Raw genomic sequence first — 20,571 nt, 5'->3', positions numbered from 1 at the left:
GCGCCCCCCACCTCCCTCCCTGACGGGGCGGCTGGCCGGCGGGGGGCTGGCCCCCACCTCCCTCCCAGACGGGGCGGCTGGCCGGGCGGGGGCTGACCCCCCACCCCCCTCCCGGACGGGGCGGCTGGCCGGGCGGGGGCTGACCCCCCACCCCCCTCCCGGACGGGGCGGCTGGCCGGGCGGGGGCTGACCCCCCACCTCCTGGACAGGGCAGCTGCCAGGCGGAGACGCTCCTCACTTCCCAGATGGGGTGGCTGCCAGGCGGAGGGGCTCCTCACTTCTCAGACGGGGCGGCTGCTGGGCGGAGGGGCTCCTCACTTCTCAGACGGGGCGGCTGGGCAGAGATGCTCCTCACCTCCCAGATGGGGTCGCGGCCGGGCAGAGGCGCTCCTCACATCCCAGACGGGGCGGCGGGGCAGAGGTGCTCCCCACATCTCAGATGGTGGGCAGCCGGGCAGAGACGCTCCTCTCTTCCTAGACGGGATGGCGGCCGGGAAGAGGCACTCCTCACTTCCCAGACTGGGCAGCCAGGCAGAGGGGCTCCTCACATCCCAGACGATGGGTGGCCAGGCAGAGACGCTCCTCACTTCCCAGACGGGGTGGCGGCCGGGCAGAGGCTGCAATCTCGGCACTTTGGGAGGCCAAGGCAGGCGGCTGGGAGGTGGAGGTTGTAGCGAGCCAAGATCACGCCACTGCACTCCAGCCTGAGCAACATTGAGCACTGAGTGAACGAGACTCCATCTGCAATCCCGGCACCTCGGGAGGCCGAGGCTGGCAGGTCACTCCTGGTTAGGAGCTGGAGACCAGCCCGGCCAACACAGCAAAACCCCGTCTCCACCAAAAAAATACGAAAACCAGTCAGGCATGGTGGCGCACGCCTGCAATTGCAGGCACTCGGCAGGCTGAGGCAGGAGAATCAGGCAGGGAGGTTGCAGTGAGCAGAGATGGTGGCAGTACAGTCCAGCTTCGGCTCGGCATCAGAGGGAGACCGTGGAAAGAGAGGGAGAGGGAGACCGTGGGGAGAGGGAGGGGGAGGGGGAGGGGGAGGTCTTTTCTTTTTGAGAAAGGGTCTTGCTCTTGCCTGTGCTGGAGTGCAGTGCTGCAGTCATGGCTCAATGCAGCCTTGACTTCCTGGTCTCAAGTGATCCTCCTGAGTAGCTAGGACTACAGGTTTGTGCTACCATGCCTGGCTTCCTTCCTTTCTTCCTTCCTTCCTTCCTTCCTTCCTTCTCCCCCTTCCCCCCTCCCTTCCTTATTTTTATTATACTTTAAGTTCTAAGGTACATGCGTACAATGTGCAGGTTTGTTACATATATATACATGTGCCATGTTGGTTTGCTGCACCCATTAACTCGCCATTTACATTAGGTATTTCTCCTAATGCTATCCCTCCCCCATACCCCCACCCCACAACAGGCCCTGGTGTGTGATATTCCCCACCCTGTGTCCAAGTGTTCTCATTGTTCAATTCTCACCTATGAGTGAGAACATGCTGTGTTTGGTTTTTTGTCCTTGTGAGAGTTTGCTGAGAATGATGGTTTCCAGCTTCATGCATGTCCCTACAAAGGACATGAACTCATCCTTTTTTATGGCTGCATAGTATTCCATTGTGTATATGTGCCACATTTTCTTAATCCAGTCTATCATTGATTGACATTTGGGTTGGTTCCAAGTGTTTGCTATTGTGAATAGTGCCGCAATAAACATACATGTGCATGTGTCTTTATAGTAGCATGATTTATTATCCTTTGGGTATATACCCAGTAATGGGATGGCTGGGCCAAATGGTATTTCTAGTTCTAGATCCTTGAGGAATTGCCACACTGTCTTCCACAATGGTTGAACTAGTTTACACTCCCACCAACAGTGTAGAAGCATTCCTATTTCTCCACATCCTCTCCAGCACCTGTTGTTTCCTGACTTTTTAATGATCGCCATTCTAACTGGTTTGAGATGGTATCTTATTGTGGTTTTGATTTGCATTTCTTTGATGACCAGTGATGATGAGCATTTTTTCATGTGTCTGTTGGCTGCATACATATCTTCTTTTGAAAAGTGTCTGTTCATGTCCTTTGCCCACTTTTTTATGGGGTGGTTTGATTTTTTTCTTGTAAATTTGTTTAAGTTCTTTGTAGATTCTGGATATTAGCCCTTTGTCAGATTTGTAGATTACAAAAATTTTCTCCCATTCTGTAGGTTGCCTGTTCACTCTGATGGCAGTTTCTTTTGCTGTGCAGAAGCTGTTTAGTTTAATTAGATCCCATTTGTCAATTTTGGCTTTTGTTGCCATTGCTTTTGGTGTTTTAGACATGAAGTCCTTGCCCATGCCTATGTCCTGAATGGCATTGCCTAGGTTTTCTTCTAGGGTTTTTATGGTTTTAGGTCTAACATTTAAGTCTTTAATCCATCTTGAATTAATTTTTGTATAAGGTATAGGGAAGGGATACAGTTTCAGCTTTCTACATATGGCTAGCCAGTTTTCCCAGCACCATTTATTAAATAGGGAATCCTTTTCCCATTTCTTGTTTTTGTCTGGTTTGTCAAAGATCACATGGTGTAGATGTGTGGTGTTATTTCTGAGGCCTTTTTTTTTTTTTTTTTCAGATAATCTCTGCCTGTATTGCCCAGGTGGAATGCAGTGGCATGATCTCAGCTCACTGCAGCCTCTCTCTCCTGGGCTCAAGCTATCCTCCTACCTCAGCCTCCTGAATAGCTGGGACTACAGGCGTGCACCACCACACCCAACTAATTTTTGTATTTTTTGTAGAGAGGGTTTTACTGTGTTGCCTAGGCTGGTCTCGAATTCCTGAGCTCAAGCAATCTTCCCACCTTGGCCTCCCAAAATGCTGAGATTACAGGTGTGAGCCACCATGCCCAGTCCCAGCTATTTTTGAAAGCATTTTTTTGTACAGATGAGGACCTTGCTATGTTGCTCAGGCTGGCCTTGAACTCCTGGGCTCAGTTGATCCTTTTAACTCAGCCTCCCAAAGTGCTGCAATTACAGTTGTGAACCACTGTGCCCGGCTTTTTTTTTTTCTCTTCACCCCTTGATCTATCTAAAGGTTTGTTCATCTTTTCAGAAAACTTTTAGTTTCCTTTATCTTTTGTGATTTTTTTTTAGTTTCATTTATTTCAGTTCTGGTCTTTATTATTTCCTTCCTTCTACTAACTTTCAGCTTAGTTCTTGTTGTTCTTCTAAGTCCTCAAGGTGCAGTGTTAGGGTGTTTACTTGTGATTTTCTTTTTTCATATAGGCATTTATTGCTATTAACTGCCCTCTTTAAATCCTTTGCTTGTTCAGGTGTGTGTTACTTCATTTCCACCTATTTGTGAATTTTCTAATTTTCTTCCTATTGTTGATTTCTATTTTCTTACAGCTGTAGTCAGAAAAGATGTTTGATATGATTTTAAGCTTCTTAAATTTGTTAAGACTTGCTTTGTTGTTGTTGTTGTTGTTTTGTGACCTAACATATGATCTATCTTGGATAATGTTCTGTGTGCACTTGAGAAGAATGTGTATTTTGCTGCTGTTGGATGGAATGTTCTGTGTATGTTGTTAGATTGTTTTGGTCTAAAGTGTAGTTCTAGTCTCATGTTTCTTTATTGATTTTCTGTCTGAATGATCTGTCCGTTGTTCAAAGTAGGGTATTAAAGTCTCCCATTATTTTATTGCAATCTATCTCTGTCTTCAGATCTATTATTAATTTGCTTTATATGTTTACGTGCTCTGTTGTTGTTGGCATATGTAGTCATCCTTTGGAATCTGTGGGGGATTTGTTTCAGGATAACCCCCCTTCCTATAACCCCTCCCCCACCTGTGGATACCAAAATTTAGGCATGTTCAAGTCTCTTATAAAATGATGTTGTATTTGTTTGAAAATCATGCACATCCTCTCATGTACTTTAAAATATCTTTAGATTACTGTAAAACTTAAAGTAAATGCTATGTAAATAGTTGTTTTGCTGTATTATTTGGGGAATAATGAGCAGGGAAAATATGTGCACATATATAATAAAGTTGGACCCATGCATTTTTTTTTTCTGGATATTTTCAATCCATGGCAGGTTGAATCTACCCTAATAAGTGGAGATGTGGTACTCATGAATTCAGATGGCCAATTGTATATTTATAATTATTCTATCTTATTGATTGGTAGATTCCTTTATTATCATATAACGACCTTTGTGTCCTGTTACGGTTTTTGACTTAAAGTTCACTTTGTCTGATATAAGTAATACTTAACTTAGCTGTCTTTTGGTTTCTATCTGTGTGGAGTGTTTTTTCCCCTGCCCTTTTGTTTTTAATTTATGTATGTCCTTAAGGATGAAGTGAGTCTCTTGTAAACAACATGATCATTTGTGTCTTTGTTTGTTTTTTTAATCCACTTGGCCATTCTGTCTTTGAATTGGAGAATTTAGTGTGTGTGCATTCAGAGTAATCATTGTAGGTAGGTACTTACTACTGCCATTTTGTTAATAGTTTTCTTTCTTTTTTTTTTTCCATTTTGGAAAAAAAAAATCCCAGGCTGGAGTATAGTGGCATGATCTTGGCTCACTGCAATCTTCATCTGCTGGGTTCAAGCGATTCTCCTGCCCATTCAAGTGATTCTCCTGCCTCAGCCTCCTGAATAGCTGGGATTACAGGTGCCCGTCACCATGCCTGGCTAATTTTTGTATTTTTAGTAGAGGCAAGGTTTCGCCATGTTGGCCATGGCTAGTCTTGAACTTCTGGCCTCAAGTGATCCACCTGCCTCCACCTCCCAAAGTGCAGGGATTAGTGGCATGAGGCACTGCACCTGGCTCGTTAAGTTTTGTGGGGTTTTTTTTTATATTCTTTGTTTCTTCCTTTGTCTATTTTTGTGATTAATAATTTTCTCTAGTGTACTTTTGATTCTTTACTTTTTATCTTTTGTGTGTTGGCTATACATTTTTGCTTTGTGGTTACCATAAGACTTATATGAAACATCTTATAGCAGGATATTTTAAGCCGATAACTGTGATCACATAAAATAACTATACTTTAACTCAACCTCTCCTCATTTTATTTTTCTGATATTGTAATTTACATATTTTTATATTGTATATCCCTTAATTATTTTAGCTCTTACTGTTCCTAATACTTTTATCTCTTAACCTTCATCGTAAGGATATAATTCATTTATAAACCACCATTACAGTGTTTGAGTATTCTGAATTAGCTACGTGCTTATTTTTACCTGAGTTTTGTGCTTTGTTTTCTTGTTACTAATTAGTGTCCTTTTTTTAAGCTTGAGAACTCCCTTTAGCATTTCTTATTAGGTCTGGTGTCGATGAACTACCTCTGCTTTTGTTTTTCTTTGAAAATCTTCATCTCTTTTTCATTCCTGAAGGACAGCTTTGCTGGGTATGGTATTCTTTGTGAGCAGTTTTTTTGTTTGTTTGTTTTTCCTGACAGCAGTTTATATATGTCATCCCATTCTCTCCTGGCCTGTAAGGTCTTTGGTGACAGGTCTGCTCATAACCTTATTGGAACTCGTTCATATGTGATTTGCATCTTTTTTCATGCTGCTTCCAAGATCTTCACTTTGCTTTTCATTTTTGACTGTTTGATTATATTATATCTTAGGGTAGCCTTGTTTGGATTGAATGTGATTGGAGATGTTTGCCCTTCCTGAGTATGGATATTTATATATTTTCCTCAGTGTGGAAATGTTGTTATTGTTTCTTTAAGTATGTGTTCTCTTTCTTTCTTGTCTTCTTGTACTCCTGTAACTCAAAAATTTGCTCTTTTGATGATGTCCCTTGAATCTTGTAATTTTTCTTCATTTTTGTTTTTTCTCCTTTGTGTATTTCTAAGTAGTCTGTTTTCAAGTTCAAAGATTTTTTTCTTTTCCTTCTCTACTGTTGATGATCTCAATTGCGTTTTTCATTTGATTTGTAAGAACCATAAAGGAAGGAAGGGATAAAAATACAAGCAGAAATTTTAGGAAAAAGAGAACTCATGAATAATAATAAAAGGTGATTTTCTGAGAAGACCCATCAAATAGTCAATATAAGGGGCAGAGTCTGATTTGCGATTGCTGCTCTGCATGTTTTTTGTCCTCTTGCAGGAGCAATGGGCAGAACTCTGAACGCTAACTTCAGTGTTCTACTTGGAACCCTGTTGAAGCAACCAGAGTTGGAAATGAGTTCTGACTTGTTTGTAAAGGATGACATTCTTGTTCTAATTCTTTATAGTCAAAAGTAGAATAGCACATTTTAAGTAAGCCAGGTATCAATTCCCAGAGTCCTTTATATGGCAGTCATTATGGGGGAGTAATAACAACCACAGAGGATTAGACTTAGGGACAAACTTGACTGCATTCAAGTCCTGGTTCACCGCTTCCTAAGTAGATGATATTAGAAGAGTCATTTGTGTTTTCTGAATTTAGATTTTTTTCAGCACTAAATAGGGATATTGTTCAGATAAGTGAGCATATATATATGTATATATGTATATGCACATATGTATGTGTATATATATGTAATGTCTAACATATAACAGTCCCTAGTAAATGGCAGTTGGTGTTATTAATACTCATTTTATACAGAACATATACTATTTCTAGTGGGTTTTACACATATCACCAGCAGTAAAGATTTAATATATGGTATTTGATGACTGATAAGTAACGCTTGTTGATTAATGATTGATGTCTACATGAGTCCAGATACTCTATATAAAGAGGAATAGATTGCCAGTTATCCACTTAGATTTATAAGCTACCCTGATATGTCCTTGGAATCACAAAAAACTGTGTCCAGACATATTTCACTGTCAGCCTCACAGGATTTGCCCTATGGTAAGTTTTTCCAAAAATCTGCTTTAGGTAACCATATTAGTCTGTTCTCACTGCTATGAAAAAATACATAAGACTGGATAATTATAAAGAAAAGAGGTTTAATTAACTCACAGTTCCACATGACTGGGGAGGCCTCAGGAAACTTAACATCAATGGCAGAAGGCACCTCTTCACAGGGTGGCATCAATGGCAGAAGACACCTCTTCACAGGGTGGCAGGAGAGAGATTGGGTGCAAGCCGGGGAAATGCCACATACTTATAAAACCATCAGATTGGCCGGGCGCGGTGGCTCACATCTGTAATCCCAGCACTTTGGGAGGCCAAGGCAGGTGGATCACAAGGTCAGGAGTTCGAGACCAGCCTGACCAACTGGTGGAACCCTGTCTCTACTAAAAATACAAAAGTTAGCCAGGTCTGGTGGCACGTGCCTGTAATCCCAGCTACTCAGGAGGCTGAGGCAAGAGAATTGCTTGAACCCGGGAGGCAGAGGTTGCAGTGAGCCAAGATCTCGCCATTGCACTCCAGCCTGGGTGACAGAGCAAGACTCTGTTTCAAAAACAAAAACAAACAAAAAAAAACCCACCATCAGATCTTGTGAGACTCACTCATTATCACGAAAACAGCATGGGGGAAGCTGCCCCCATGATCCAATCACCTCCATCTGGTTCTGCCCTTGACATGTGGGGATTATCACAATTCAAGATGAGATTTGGGTGGGGACACAGAGCCACACCATATCAGTACCCCATGCAGAATATATAGTCCAGGGCTCTAGGCCTTAGTATTCACACTAGTAGTTCCTTTCTGAGTTGTTGAAGTGTGCCAGAGAGGCCTGTTGTGTAAGTTAGCCCCCTTAAGTGTGTTCTTTGAGAAGAGGTGCTGCATAATCTCATTTGTGAGTTATATCACCATGGGCACAAAAAGACTTACATTCCTCAGGTCTTAAGTTTCTTTACCTGGCTAGGTGCAGTGGCTCATGCCTGTAATCCCAGCACTTTGGGAGGCCAAGTTGGGCGGATCATGAGGTCAGGAGATGGAGAACATCCTGGGTAACACGGTGAAACCCCATCTCTACTAAAACTACAAAAAATTAGCCGGGCGTGGTGGCAGGTGCCTGTAGTCCCAGCTACTTAGGAGGCTGAGGCAGGAGAATGGCGTGAACCCAGGAGGCAGAGCTTGCAGTGAGCCGAGATCGTGCCACTGCACTCCAGCCTGGGCAACAGAGTGAAACTCCATCTCCAAAAAAAAAAAAAAAAGTTTCTTTACCTGTGCAATGAGGATATTATACTTTTACTTACGACAGCTTGGCCCACAATTCCTTTTTCTTGCTCTAGGTTAGACAGAAGTGCAGTGGCATTTTATGGATGTAATGTATATTTATGTGAGTTTATATGAATTATAAGAGAATTTCGAACCAGGTTGGAATAACTTCCATGCATGCGAATGTTGGAACTGTGATTATGTCTGGGCTCTTATGCCTTCTTTCTTTTCCAGGTCTTTCTAGGAACCCAATCTGCCTTCATGAAGAAAAGACAGAGGCAGAAAGGAAGATGGCTTACTGCCTGACAAATTGTTATCAGGTATGCAGAAAATGTATACTTCCACAAAATGACATACTTGCATCACCAGGTAAACACATTTCCTTCTAGGCAGATGTGTCTCCAGAGCTTCTTTAAGTAAATAAAGACTCACTCAAGCACTGAGTCACTTGTTGAATTTCCCCAGGGAGTGGAGGTTCTCATACTGATAATCCTTGAAAAGCATTTCAGCATTTCAGTAATTGTTAATTAATTTTGTCCCTTATGGTGCCAGATATATATTTCTTATTTTGCTGAGTGGTCTGGCAGATGGAAAGGAAGATGAAAGCATCCTTTACTCAAAGGCTAATCCTGGCCAGGTGCAGTGGCTCACACTTGTAATCTCAGCACTTTGGGAGGCTGAGAAGTGAGTGGCATTATCGCTTGATCTTAGGAATTTGAGACCAGCCTGGGCAACATACTGAGACATTGTCTCCACAAAAAAAAAAAAAAAAAAAAAAAATGCCAGGCATGGTGGTGCATGGCTGTAGTCCTAGCTACTCAGGAGGCTGAGGCAGGACGATCACTTGAGCCCAGTAAGTCAAGGCTGCAGTGAGCCATGATCACACCACTGCAGTCCAGCCTACGTGACAGAGCAAGACCCTGCTTCCCAAAAAAAAAGGCTAATCATTCATCGCTGTTTATCAAGTATATGATGCAGTGTACTCTGGGATATCTTTTAGTAGAGGGAAATAAGTTGAGAAAGCACTCACAGTCTGCTTGTGATGAGAAGTTCATGATTGAGATGTGCCATTAAAGCCATACAACTGGAATTGTTAAGTAGTGAAAGAGCAAGGATAGAGAGAGGAATACCTGAGATTTACCTGGGATTATTAAGCTTTGGGTAGATAATGAGAGACCTCACAACTCTTTATAGGCATTGGGGTCTGTTAACTGATTCTTCAGTGAACACTGGTTAATCTGTTACTTGGCTCAAATCAACATGTATGTGATGGTTTAGTACTCCGTGACCTTTGAGGATACAGCTGTGGACTTCACCCAGGAGGAGTGGATTTTACTGGACCCAGTTCAGAGAAACTTATACAGAGATGTGATGCTGGAGAATTATGAGAACGTGGCCAAAGTAGGTAAGACTGCCATCATTTTATGCAGCCTCTTAGGGAAGAGATATACATTGTGTACTTGCTGTGTTCCAGAATTGGTTTGTTCAACACTGAATTCACCAGAGACGTTGTCCCTGCCATAATAGGTCTTAATTACTGTGGTCGTTTTCAAAGTGTGGTCCAGTTTCGACAGCATCACTGTTACTCCCTTAGAAATGTACAGTCTTAGTCTCTGCCTTTGACCTACTGAATCAGAAACTCTCCACTTGGATTGTCATCTGTGTGTTAACTATCCTTCCACATCAATTTGATGCACTATAATATTAAGAATCACTGGTGTAGTTGTATTCTCCAAGTATACAAGGGTCTCTTTGTTTCACTTTTTTTCTTTTTTTTCTTCATTCAGGAGTTTGACAACATACCTTATTTCTGTGACTAAAAGGTTATTGCTTTGTAAATGTGCACATAAGCATGAATTTGCATTTCAGAGGTCAGAGAGCCAATTTTGGGGTGCACAGAAATAAGAGATATTTTCAGTTTTAGTCCATTTGAAATAATTTCACTGCTTTCTCTAAGAACTATAGTTCTATAATGTAAAGTTTATCATCTCTTGCATGAGCCTCTTCCATTATTTTTTTTTTTTTGAGATGGAATTTTGCTCTTGTTGTCCAGGATGGAGTGCAGTGGCATGATCTCGGCTCACTGCAACCTCTGCCTCCTGGGTTCAAGCAATTCTTCTGTCTCAGCCCCCCAAGTAGCTGGGATTATAGGCACACGCCATCACACCCAGCTAATTTTTGTATTTTTAGTAGAGACGGGGGTTTCACCATCTTAGGCTGATCTTGAACTCCTGACTTCAGGTAATCCACCCACTTCAGCCTCCCAAAGTGCTGGGATTACAGGCATGAGCCACTGTGCCTGGCCTGAGCCTCTTCCATTAATGTATCATTTCTTCATGTAAAGGATTTCAGCTCTTTAAACCCAGTGTCATCTCTTGGTTGGAAGAAGAAGAGTTGAGAACCTTGCAGCAAGGAGTTCTCCAAGGTGAGTATTTGTGAAGAACAACCTTGGTCAGTGAGAAGTTCAGTATGTTTAGAAGCTGTGTTAGTCTGTTCTTGTGTTGCAAGAAAGAAATACCTGAGACTGGGTGATTTATTAAGAAAATAGGTTTATTTTGGCTCACGATTCTGCAGGCTCTACAGAAAGCATGGTTCTGACATCTGCTTCAGGTGAGAGCCTCAGAAACCTTACAATCATGGCAGAAGGCAAAGGAGGAGCAGACAAATTACATGATGAGAAAGGGAGTAAAAGAGAAGTTGGGGGTGGTGTCATAGTGTTTTAAACCAGCAGTCCCCAGCCTTTTTGGCATCAGGGACCAGTTTCATGGAAGACAATTTTTCCACAGACCAGGTCTCAGGGATATTGTTTCAGGATGATTCAGGTGCATTACATTTATTGTGCACTTTATTTCTACTATTATTACATTGTAATATATAAGGAAATAATTATACAACTCTACCATAACTCTACTGTAATGAAATAATTATACAATTCTACCATAATGTAGAATCAATGGGAACCCTGAGGTTGTTTTCCTGTAACCAGATGGTCCCATTTGGGGATCTGGGGGTGATGGGAGACAGTGACAGATCATCAGGCATTAGATTCTCAAAAGGAGCGCGCAAACTAAATCCTTCGCATGCACAGTTCATGATAGATTTTGCTCTTTTATGAGAATCAAGTGCTGCCGCTGATCTGACAAGAGGCGGAGCTCAGGAGGCAATTAGGATGGAGAGCAGCTATAAATACAAATGAAGCTTCACTTGCTCTCCTGCCACTCACCTCCTGTGCTGTGGCCTGGTTCTGGTCCATGGCTCCGGAGTTGGAGACTCCTGTTTTAAACTACCAGGTCTCACATGAATTCAGAACAAGAACTCACTTATTACTCCGAGTATGTCACTAAGCCATTCATGAAGGACCCACCCCCATGATCCAAACATCTCCCACCAGGCCCCACCTCCAGTATTTGGCGTTGCATTTCCATATGAGATTTGGAGGGAACTAACATCCAAACCATCAGAAACATAATGAGGGAACTTTTTTTTTTTTTTTTGAGACGGAGTCTCACTCTGTCCCCCAGGCTGGAGTGCAGTGGCACGATCTTGGCTCACCGCAACCTATGCCTCCCAGGTTCATGCCATTCTCCTGCCTCAGCCTCCCGAGTAGCTGGGACTACAGGTGCCTGCCAACATGCCCGGCTAATTTTTTGTATTTTTAGTAGAGATGGTGTTCCACCGTGTTAGCCAGGATGGTCTTCATCTCCTAACCTTGTGATCCGCCCACCTCAGCCTCCCAAAGTGCTGGGATTACAGGCGTAAGCCACCACACCCAGCCCTCTGAGGGAACTTTTTAAGATGCACCTTCTCTCACAAGGTTAAGGCCATTTATCTCAGAAGTTAGAAAATATTCAATTTTTGATACTCTTTAAATTTCCATCTACTCCAACTTTCTATGATCTTATGAAACTATATATTTTGTTTTTCAAGTTCTTTGCTTTGAAATATGGCTTTGGCCCAGATCTTTCCTACTTTTCTGATAACATTCTTTCTGTTTAACATTAGTTTTAAATCTAAATGAGTCAATTTGTAGCAAATTAGCTAAAATTTTGACCCTTTAATCTCATTATTGCCAATTTTTTGACACAGTCTAAATGTTCAATTTAGCTTTCTTTTTTCTTATGTTTATTTTAAAAACAAATATGAATGAGGCCTATAATTTTTAACTCTTTCATTTTACCTTTTTTTTTAAAAAAAAAAAAAACCTCAGTTTATGTTTTTGTTTCAGACTGGGCAATAAAACATCAAACCAGTGTTTCAGCACTGCAGCAGGAGTTTTGGAAAATACAAACTTCTAATGGGATACAAATGGTAATGTTAAGAAAGGGTATTTCTTATTTTTCACACTCAGAGAATATTGGGACTTCCAATATAGAAAATAAGCACAAAAGATAATTGAGAGGAATAGCATTCACTCAAGAGGGAGCAATGTCTCTGGAGAGATGCTCTGATAATGATGAATTTGGGGAGATCTAAACTTAGTGTGAAAGTTGTATCCTTCTAAAATTGGAGTAATGATATCAACAAAGACTCATTTTCTTGTAGGTACTCCTGTCTGTATTCTTCCTTAAAGCAAATATAGACCCTAGTTGAATTTTTCCCAGAAAGTCATACCTCTCATATTGGTGAGGAATTACCCTGGAAATTATCTCAGTATTTTTGTATTTATGAATTAGTGTTCATTTTCCTGGTGCCAACTGCATATTTATTTTTCTGGGTGCTAGGACAGATGGTAAGGGGTATGAAAGTGTTCTTTTCTTAAGGAATTTATCCATATCCTCATTTATCAAGTATTTGTTATGTGCTCAGGAGTGTTTTGCAGTAGAGAGGAATCAAATGAGATGAGCTCCCGGTCTAGTTGTGGTTGATAAGTTTCTGTGTAAGAGGTTCTGTTACAGCCATGTTATTGGAGGAAATTGACAGTGAGTGAATGTGGATAGAAGAGTTCCTAGGGCCACTGAACCTTGGGGTGTAGATAGTGGGAGCACTCAGTACCCTGTACAGGGATTGGGTCCCCCTTCCTCATTCTTCAGCCAACATTGGTGGAGATGTTGCTTGGCTCAAATCAGCATGTGTCTGATGGTTTAGGACCTGGTAACCTTTGACAGTGTGGCTGTGGAGTTCACCCAGGAAGAGTGGACTTTACTGGACCCAGCTCAGAGAAACCTGTACAGTGATGTGATGCTGGAGAACTACAAGAACCTGTCCTCAGTAGGTAAGTCTGGCATCATCCCTTGTAGCCTATTCTGGAACAAGATACAAATTATGTACTTACTGTATTCTAGGATTAGTGATGTCAAATCTGAATACAGTGGGATATATACACACTGAAAAAAAATTTTTTTTAATGAGTAAAATAGGAAATAACAGAGACAGTTCCTGTACTAATGGGTTTTAATCTTGTATGGTAGTTTGCGTCAGTAGCATCACCATCACTGTCTTAGATATGTGTACATTCTCAGACTCGATGTACTAAATCAAAAAGTCTGCTGTTGGGGCCCTGTATTCAGATGAGTAATTCACTCTAAAGTTCAGAACTACTGGAATGGGAGTTTTCCCAGGAGAATCAAGATCTCTCTTTGAGCTTCCATTAGTTTCTATTTTAATAAAGGTTTTAGTGGTTTTTAGAATTTGTATTTAACATTTGCCATTTAGAAAGAAAAAGTGCAGCTCACTGCTAGTGCTTGTTTCTTGGGGCAAACAGGAAATGAGTTAAGCTTGAATGTGAATTTCAGAGGTCAGAGATAACCAGTGTCTTCAGAGAACAGAAAGATGGGATATATGCAATTTAAGTGCTTTTCACTGCTTTAATTAGAAACGTAGTCCCTGTTTCATGGAAAAGTTTGCCATTTCTTGCATGAGCCTCTTCCATTGGTGTATCTTTCCCTGTGTACAGGTTACCAGCTCTTCAAACCCAGTCTGATCTCTTGGCTGGAGGAAGAGGAAGAGTTGAGCACACTGCCAAGAGTTCTCCAAGGTGAGTGTTTGTGAAGAACAACCCTGGTCCATGAGAAGTTCTCAGTACGTTTGGAAGCACAATGAAGTTTTATAAGATGCCCTTTGAATCAGAAGGCTGTCCACTGGACTTGGATGTTTTGGGATATCTTAACTTTTCATCCTCCATTGCTTTGCATCTATCCAGACTTCCCTATTACCTAACAAATGACCTTCTTTATGTTTATGGATTTATTGTATGCTTTTGTTCCAATTTTTCCGACTTTTCCTTCCCTGGTAGTATTGCTTCTGTTAACCATCATGTTTAATTTTCATAGAATAAGTTGTTTTAAAAATTACTAAAACTTGACCCCATATGATTGCCAAATTTTAGACATATATAAATTGTTCAAATCTATCTGCTTTTTATTTAACCTACCATTTCATGTGTAAACTCTCATGTATATTTTTCTCTTTTATTTCAGAATGGAAAATGTGCCTGAAAACCAAAGGGCCAGCCCTTTGGCAAGATAATTTTTGTTTAAAAACATTAAATGGGATACAGTTGGTAAGATTAACAAAAGAACTTTCTTATTTTTCACATTCAGAGAAGACTGGTATTGCATTATAGAAATCAGCAGAAATGGCCAGGCACGGTGGCTCATGCCTCTAATCCCAGCACTTTGGGAGGCTGAGGCAGGCGGATCATGAGGTCAGGAGTTCGAGACCAGCCTGGCCAATATGGTGAAACCCCATCTCTACTAAAAATACAAAAATTAGCTGGGCATAGTGGTGTGTACCTGTAGTCCCAGCTACTTGTGAGGCTGAGGCAGAAGAATTGTTTGAACCCAGGAGGTGGAGGTTGCAGTGAGCTGAGATCGTGCCACTGCACACTACAGCCTGGGCAACAGAGCGTAACCCCATCTCAAAAAAAAAAAAAAAAAAAAGAAATCAGCAGAAATGATAGATATTTGAGAGAAGTGGCATTCACCCAATTCACCCAAGGGGAGAAATATCTGGAGAGAGATCCCATACCTTGTGTGAAGCTTGGTACTTAAGACTTCCCATGAATGTTCATTCCAACATGTATAACTAGACATTTGAGTTTTTAAAATAACTTCATGAAAAGCTACAGGAATCTTGCCAAGATTAGAGCAGATGACATAGGATTCTTACAGTAGGGTTCCATTATTCAAGTTGAAGGAAATCCAAAAGGTAGAAACTATATGCATGTTATAAAAGTGGCAAAAATAATAATTATCATGTTTCTTAGAAGAGTGGTATCTATTAATAAGTCTGCTAAAATGCTTCCTTTATTGTTCATTCCTGTGTTAACAGGCAAGAAACCAAAATGGAGAGGAACTCTATGACTGTAAGCAATGTGAAGATGTCTTCTGTAAACATCCATGCCTTAAGACCAACATGAGTACTCAAAATAGAGGCAACACGTCTGAATGTATTCAGTATGCAAAAGACCTCCTTTCTCTATACAATAAAACCTCTACCATAAGGAAAGTTTCTGTGTTCAGTAAGCATGGAAAATCTTTCCGCCTGATTTTAAATGTTCAGGTCCAGAGAAAGTGTACACAAGATAAATCCTTTGAAGGCACTGACTATGGGAAAGCCTTCATTTATCAGTCATACCTTGAAGCACACAGGAAAACTCAGAGTGGAGAAAAACTCAATGAATGGAAGCAATGTGGGGAAGCATTTACTCACTCCACAAGCCATGCTGTAAATGTTGAAACACACATTATTAAAAACCCCTATGAATGTAAGGAATGTGGAAAAGATTTTAGATACCCTACCCACCTTAATAATCACATGCAAACCCACATTGGGATAAAACCTTATAAATGTAAGCACTGTGGCAAAACCTTCACTGTGCCGTCAGGCTTTCTTGAACATGTACGAACTCACACTGGAGAGAAGCCCTATGGGTGTAAGGAATGTGGTAAAGCCTTTGGTACATCTGCAGGCCTTATTGAACATATAAGATGTCACGCCAGAGAGAAAACCTTTAAATGTGACCACTGTGGGAAAGCCTTTATTTCTTACCCATCTCTTTTTGGACATTTGAGAGTTCATAATGGAGAGAAGCCATATGAGCATAAGGAATATGGGAAGGCCTTTGGTACATCCTCAGGTGTTATTGAAGATAGAAGAAGTAACACAGGACAGAAACGCTTTGATTGTGACCAGTGTGGGAAAGTCTTTGTTTCTTTCTCATCTCTTTTTGCTCATTTGAGAACTCACACTGGTGAGAAGCCCTTTAAGTGTTACAAATGTGGGAAACCATTTACCTCTTCTGCCTGTCTTCGTATTCACATGCGAACTCACACAGAAGAGAGACTCTATCAATGTAAGAAATGTGGTAAAGCTTTCACTAAGTGCTCATATCTTACCAAACATTTACGAACACACGCTGGAGAGAAACCCTATGAATGTATGAAATGTGGGAAAGCCTTCACTGAGCGCTCATACCTTACTAAACATTTACGAAGACACAGTGGAGAGAAGCCATATGAATGTAAGAAATGTGGAAAAGCCTTCACAGAACGCTCAGATCTTACTAAACATTTACGAAGACACACTGGAGATAAGCCCTATGAATATAAGGACTGTGGGAAAGCCTTTGTTGTCTCCTCCAGTCTAGTTGATCATTTAAGAACTCACACTGGATATAAACCCTATAAATGTAATGCATGTGAAAAAGCTTACAGTAGGTCTTGTGTACTAACTCAACACTTAAAAACTCATGCAGCAGAGAAGACCTCTGAATGTAACGCATGTGGAAATTCCTTTCGAAATTCCATGTGCTTTCATGATCGCTTAAAAACTCTCACCAAAATAAAACCCTATAAATGTAAGGACTGTGGGAAAGCCTTCACTTGTCATTCAGATCTTACTAATCATGTGCGAATTCACACTGGAGAGAAGCCCTATAAATGTAAGGAATGTGGGAAGGCCTTCCGTACATCCTCAGGACGTATTCAACATTTAAGAACTCATATGGGAGAGAAACCCTTTGAATGTGACCAGTGTGGGAAAGCCTTTGCTTCTTTCTCAGCTCGTATTGCACATTTGAAAACACACTAGAGAGAAGCCCTGTGGATGTGAAGAATGTGGAAAAACCTTTGCTGTTTCCTCAAGCCTAACTGAACATGTAAAAATTCACAGGAGAAAGTAACACTATCAATGTAAGGAATGTGAGAAAGCCTGAACAGTTGAATCTTTCTAGATATGTACAAACTCACACTGTAGAGAAACCCTGTAAATGTAAGGGATGTAGGAAAACACTAGTTCTTCTCTCTCTCTTTTTTTTTTTTTGATGAGTCTCACTCTGTCACCTAGGCTGGAGTGCAGTGGCATGATCTTGGCTCACTGCAACCTCTGCCTCCCAAGTTCAAGCAATTCTCCTGCTTTAGTCTCCTGAGTAGCTGGGATTACAGGCATGCACCACCACACCTGGCTAATTTTTTATATTTTTGGTAGAGACAGAATTTCACCATGTTGGCCAAGCTAGTCTCAAACTCCTGACCTCATGTGATCATGTGCTTCCACCTCCCAAAATGCTGGGATTACAGGTGTGTGCCACTGCACCTGGCATTCTTCTCATCTTACTGAACGTGTAGAAACACCATGGAGAGAAACCATGTTTTTTTGTTTGTTTGTTTTTGAGATGAAGTCCCACTCTGTAGCCCAGGCTGGAGTGCAGTAGCATGATCTCGGCTCACTGCAACCTCCGCCTCCTGGGTTCAAGCGATTCTCCTGCCTCAGCCTCCCGAGTAGCTGGGATTATAGGCACACACCACTGCACCTGGCTGATTTTTTGTATTTTTAGTAGAGACGGGGTTTCAACATTTTGGCCAAGCTGGTCTTGAAGTCCTGACCTCAGGTAATCTGCCCGCCTTGGCCTCCCAAAGTGGTAGAATTACAGGTGTGAGCCATCGCGCCTGGCCAAGAAACCCATTTTATGTAAGGAATGAGGAAAATCCTTTTGGAAGTCCATATGCCTTAATAGTCACATTGTAATTCACACTGGTGAGAAAACAATGTAAGCACTGTGTCAAAGTGCTCATTTGTCCCTGTTCACTTCAAAGATAGGAAAGAACTTACACTCTGATGATGCTCCATAAAGTTAAAGGCATGTGGGAGAACCGTTGGAATCTGCTGACAATACACTGTGTAAGAGTTCATCCTGAAGCTGTACAATGTTAGAAACATAGAGAGCTGGCCAGGCGCAGTGGCTCATGCCTATAATCTCAGCACTTTGGAAGGCTGAGGCAGGTGGATCACGAGGTCAAGAGATCGAGACTATCCAGGCCATCCAGGCCAACATGGTGAAACCCTGTCTCTACTAAAAATACAAAAATTAGCTGGGCATGGTGGTACACCCCTGTAATCCCAGCTACTCAAGAGCCTGAGGCAGGAGAGTCGCTTCAACCAGGGAGGCAGAGGTTACAGTTAGCCAAGATCATGCCACTGCACTCCAGCCTGGCGACTGAGCGAGACTCCATCTCAAAAAAAAAAAAAAAAAAAATCAATAGCTTTCACTGTTTCCTTGGGTTCTTGGAATGGAGATAAACCCTTTTTATGTAAGATGTTTGATGTAAGATATGTTCAGAAGTTTTATTCTTGCCAAATACTTTGGTGTTTACCTGTAATTTTATAGTGGAGAAAAACTTCATGAAGGTAATAAATGTTGGAAAGTAATTTTTTATATTCTTCGTCCTTTAGTGAATATGAGGGGCATTCACACTTATGAGAAACTGGGCATGTATGGAATATCAGGATTGCTTCTCTGAAACCTGTCAAAGCCTGGCTTTCTGGGTGGTTCTATAGAACTATTTTGGAAGTTTCTTACACCCCGCTGCTCATTCCTGGCATGGTATGTCTTTCTCCTATAGCAACACCACTCTAGTTGCTATACATCCTCTGGGTTACAACTGACCTAAAGTGGGCCTTCAGGATTCAGACAATCCTGTTTTAACAGTGTAGATTCTCTTTTTGGTTTGTCATATTTTTAGACATGGTCCACCTGTAGTGGCTCACACTGGCCAAGGTAAAAGTTATAATACAGCTTTAAAATGTAAAAATACTCTTGTTCCTCTTTTCAAACCTGATCTTTTCAGATAAATGGTCAGGGTTGAAGAAGGGTCTGAGTGGAGAAAGGGTGCACTAACAGATAGTAACTTAAGATACCGTGATTTCATGGCCGTGGAGGGACACCCATAACCCTTCACCTGGAGAGGTGGGAACTCTTGTACTATCAGGCAGTGCAGAGAGGTGGTGGGAACCACGAATGTTGTCTTTGATGCCACTGTTTGGCAAAGCAGTCATATATGCCTGACTCAGTTAACTGCTATGATTGGCAGTATGACCTATTTCTGGGGTTTCATTTTGCCCATGTGCTATGAAAACAGAAAAACTCCTGTGAACATGGATGATCATGATATTCTGCTGTGCTTGACACCATCACTAGCACTTCCTGAACATGGCCCTGGAATACACACACACGCACAAGCTGCATAACCAGGTTCCAGTCTGAGTGGTACAAATTTAAATATTTCTGTTATATCATGTACAGCAATTAAGGCTGTTGTTTCTTGGTGATTCTTTCTGTGGTTCTTAATCCAGCCAGTGTAATGGTAATCCAAAGCTTCAGGTAAGTTTACCAATCCTGAATCAGCTGGGTGTAATAGCTTATGCCTGTAATCCCAGCACTTCGGGAGGCCAAGTCAGGCGGATCACTTGGGCTCAGGAGTTCAAGACCAGCCCGGGCAACATGGCAAAACCCTATCTCTACAAAAAATGTAAAGATTAGCCTGGTGTGATGGCACGTGCCTGTAGTCCAACCTACTCAGGAGGCTGAGATAGGTGTCTCACTGACCCCAGGGAGGTCATGGCTGCAGTGAGCTCAGATCGTGCCATTGGACTCCAACCTGGGTGACAGAGGCCTTGTCTCAAAAACAAAACAAAACCAAAAAAACTGAATTGAGGTCCATGCATTTTCATGTTACATGTTTTCTTATGGAGAGGAAAGGGTTTCAGAGTGGTTCTCTTGTGGTATGAGTGTGATTATTTTAACCCATCTTTGTTGCGTTTAACTGTTACCAGTGACACAAAAGACGCAGATTAGTCTTAATTGCCTTGTGTGACTTCTGTCACCTCACAGACTGTCCTTAGATGCCATCCTGATTGTCTCAAATAAAACCTATAGGTTATTCCTGAAACTTTTTCACAGTTGTTGGAGTATGAGCACTTGTGGGTCACAGGTGAGGTCAATACTGTAGGTTGGCCTCATCCTGGTGCTTGGACTAATAGTGATGTATCACTAAGAAATGATACCCTAGTCTCACAGCCTAGAAATTGCCTAGCTTCAGAAGCTGATTTCCTTTTTTATTTTTTTTAGAAGCTGATTTCTGATTGTTTATATAAAATCACTTGATCTTTGTATACTGAATTTTACTAGAAGCCTTGTTCAACATTCTTTAACATCCTAGTTTTATGTATTTTGGGTTTTCCACATTTCATATTATCTGTAACTGACTTAACTT

The 20,571-nt window shown here is 41.5% G+C and overlaps 1 protein-coding gene across 5 annotated transcripts in view; it reads left to right on the top strand.

Moving 5' to 3' along the window:
- ZNF560 (zinc finger protein 560) overlaps positions 1–20,571 on the top strand; it is a 60,817-nt gene that overhangs the window by 23,009 nt on the left and 17,237 nt on the right. For 3 of the 5 annotated variants that reach the window (XM_011527697.3, NM_152476.3, XM_011527696.3), the window contains exons 3-10: positions 8,315–8,400; positions 9,359–9,485; positions 10,425–10,505; positions 12,306–12,388; positions 13,166–13,292; positions 13,974–14,054; positions 14,497–14,579; positions 15,350–17,329. In XM_011527697.3, coding sequence (XP_011525999.1) covers positions 8,371–8,400; positions 9,359–9,485; positions 10,425–10,505; positions 12,306–12,388; positions 13,166–13,292; positions 13,974–14,054; positions 14,497–14,579; positions 15,350–17,110 — 2,373 coding nt within the window. In that variant the 5' untranslated portion in view covers positions 8,315–8,370 and the 3' untranslated portion in view covers positions 17,111–17,329. Of the gene's footprint in view, positions 1–8,314; positions 8,401–9,358; positions 9,486–10,424; positions 10,506–12,305; positions 12,389–13,165; positions 13,293–13,973; positions 14,055–14,496; positions 14,580–15,349; positions 17,330–20,571 lie in introns of those variants that run through there. The other 2 variants (XR_007066601.1, NM_001351678.2) reach the window with 2 other exon arrangements.

This window comes from Homo sapiens, chromosome 19, assembly GCF_000001405.40.
Source record: "Homo sapiens chromosome 19, GRCh38.p14 Primary Assembly".
In the NCBI taxonomy this organism is placed as follows: Eukaryota; Metazoa; Chordata; class Mammalia; order Primates; family Hominidae; genus Homo; species Homo sapiens.
This window is presented reverse-complemented; position numbering and strand designations above follow the sequence as displayed.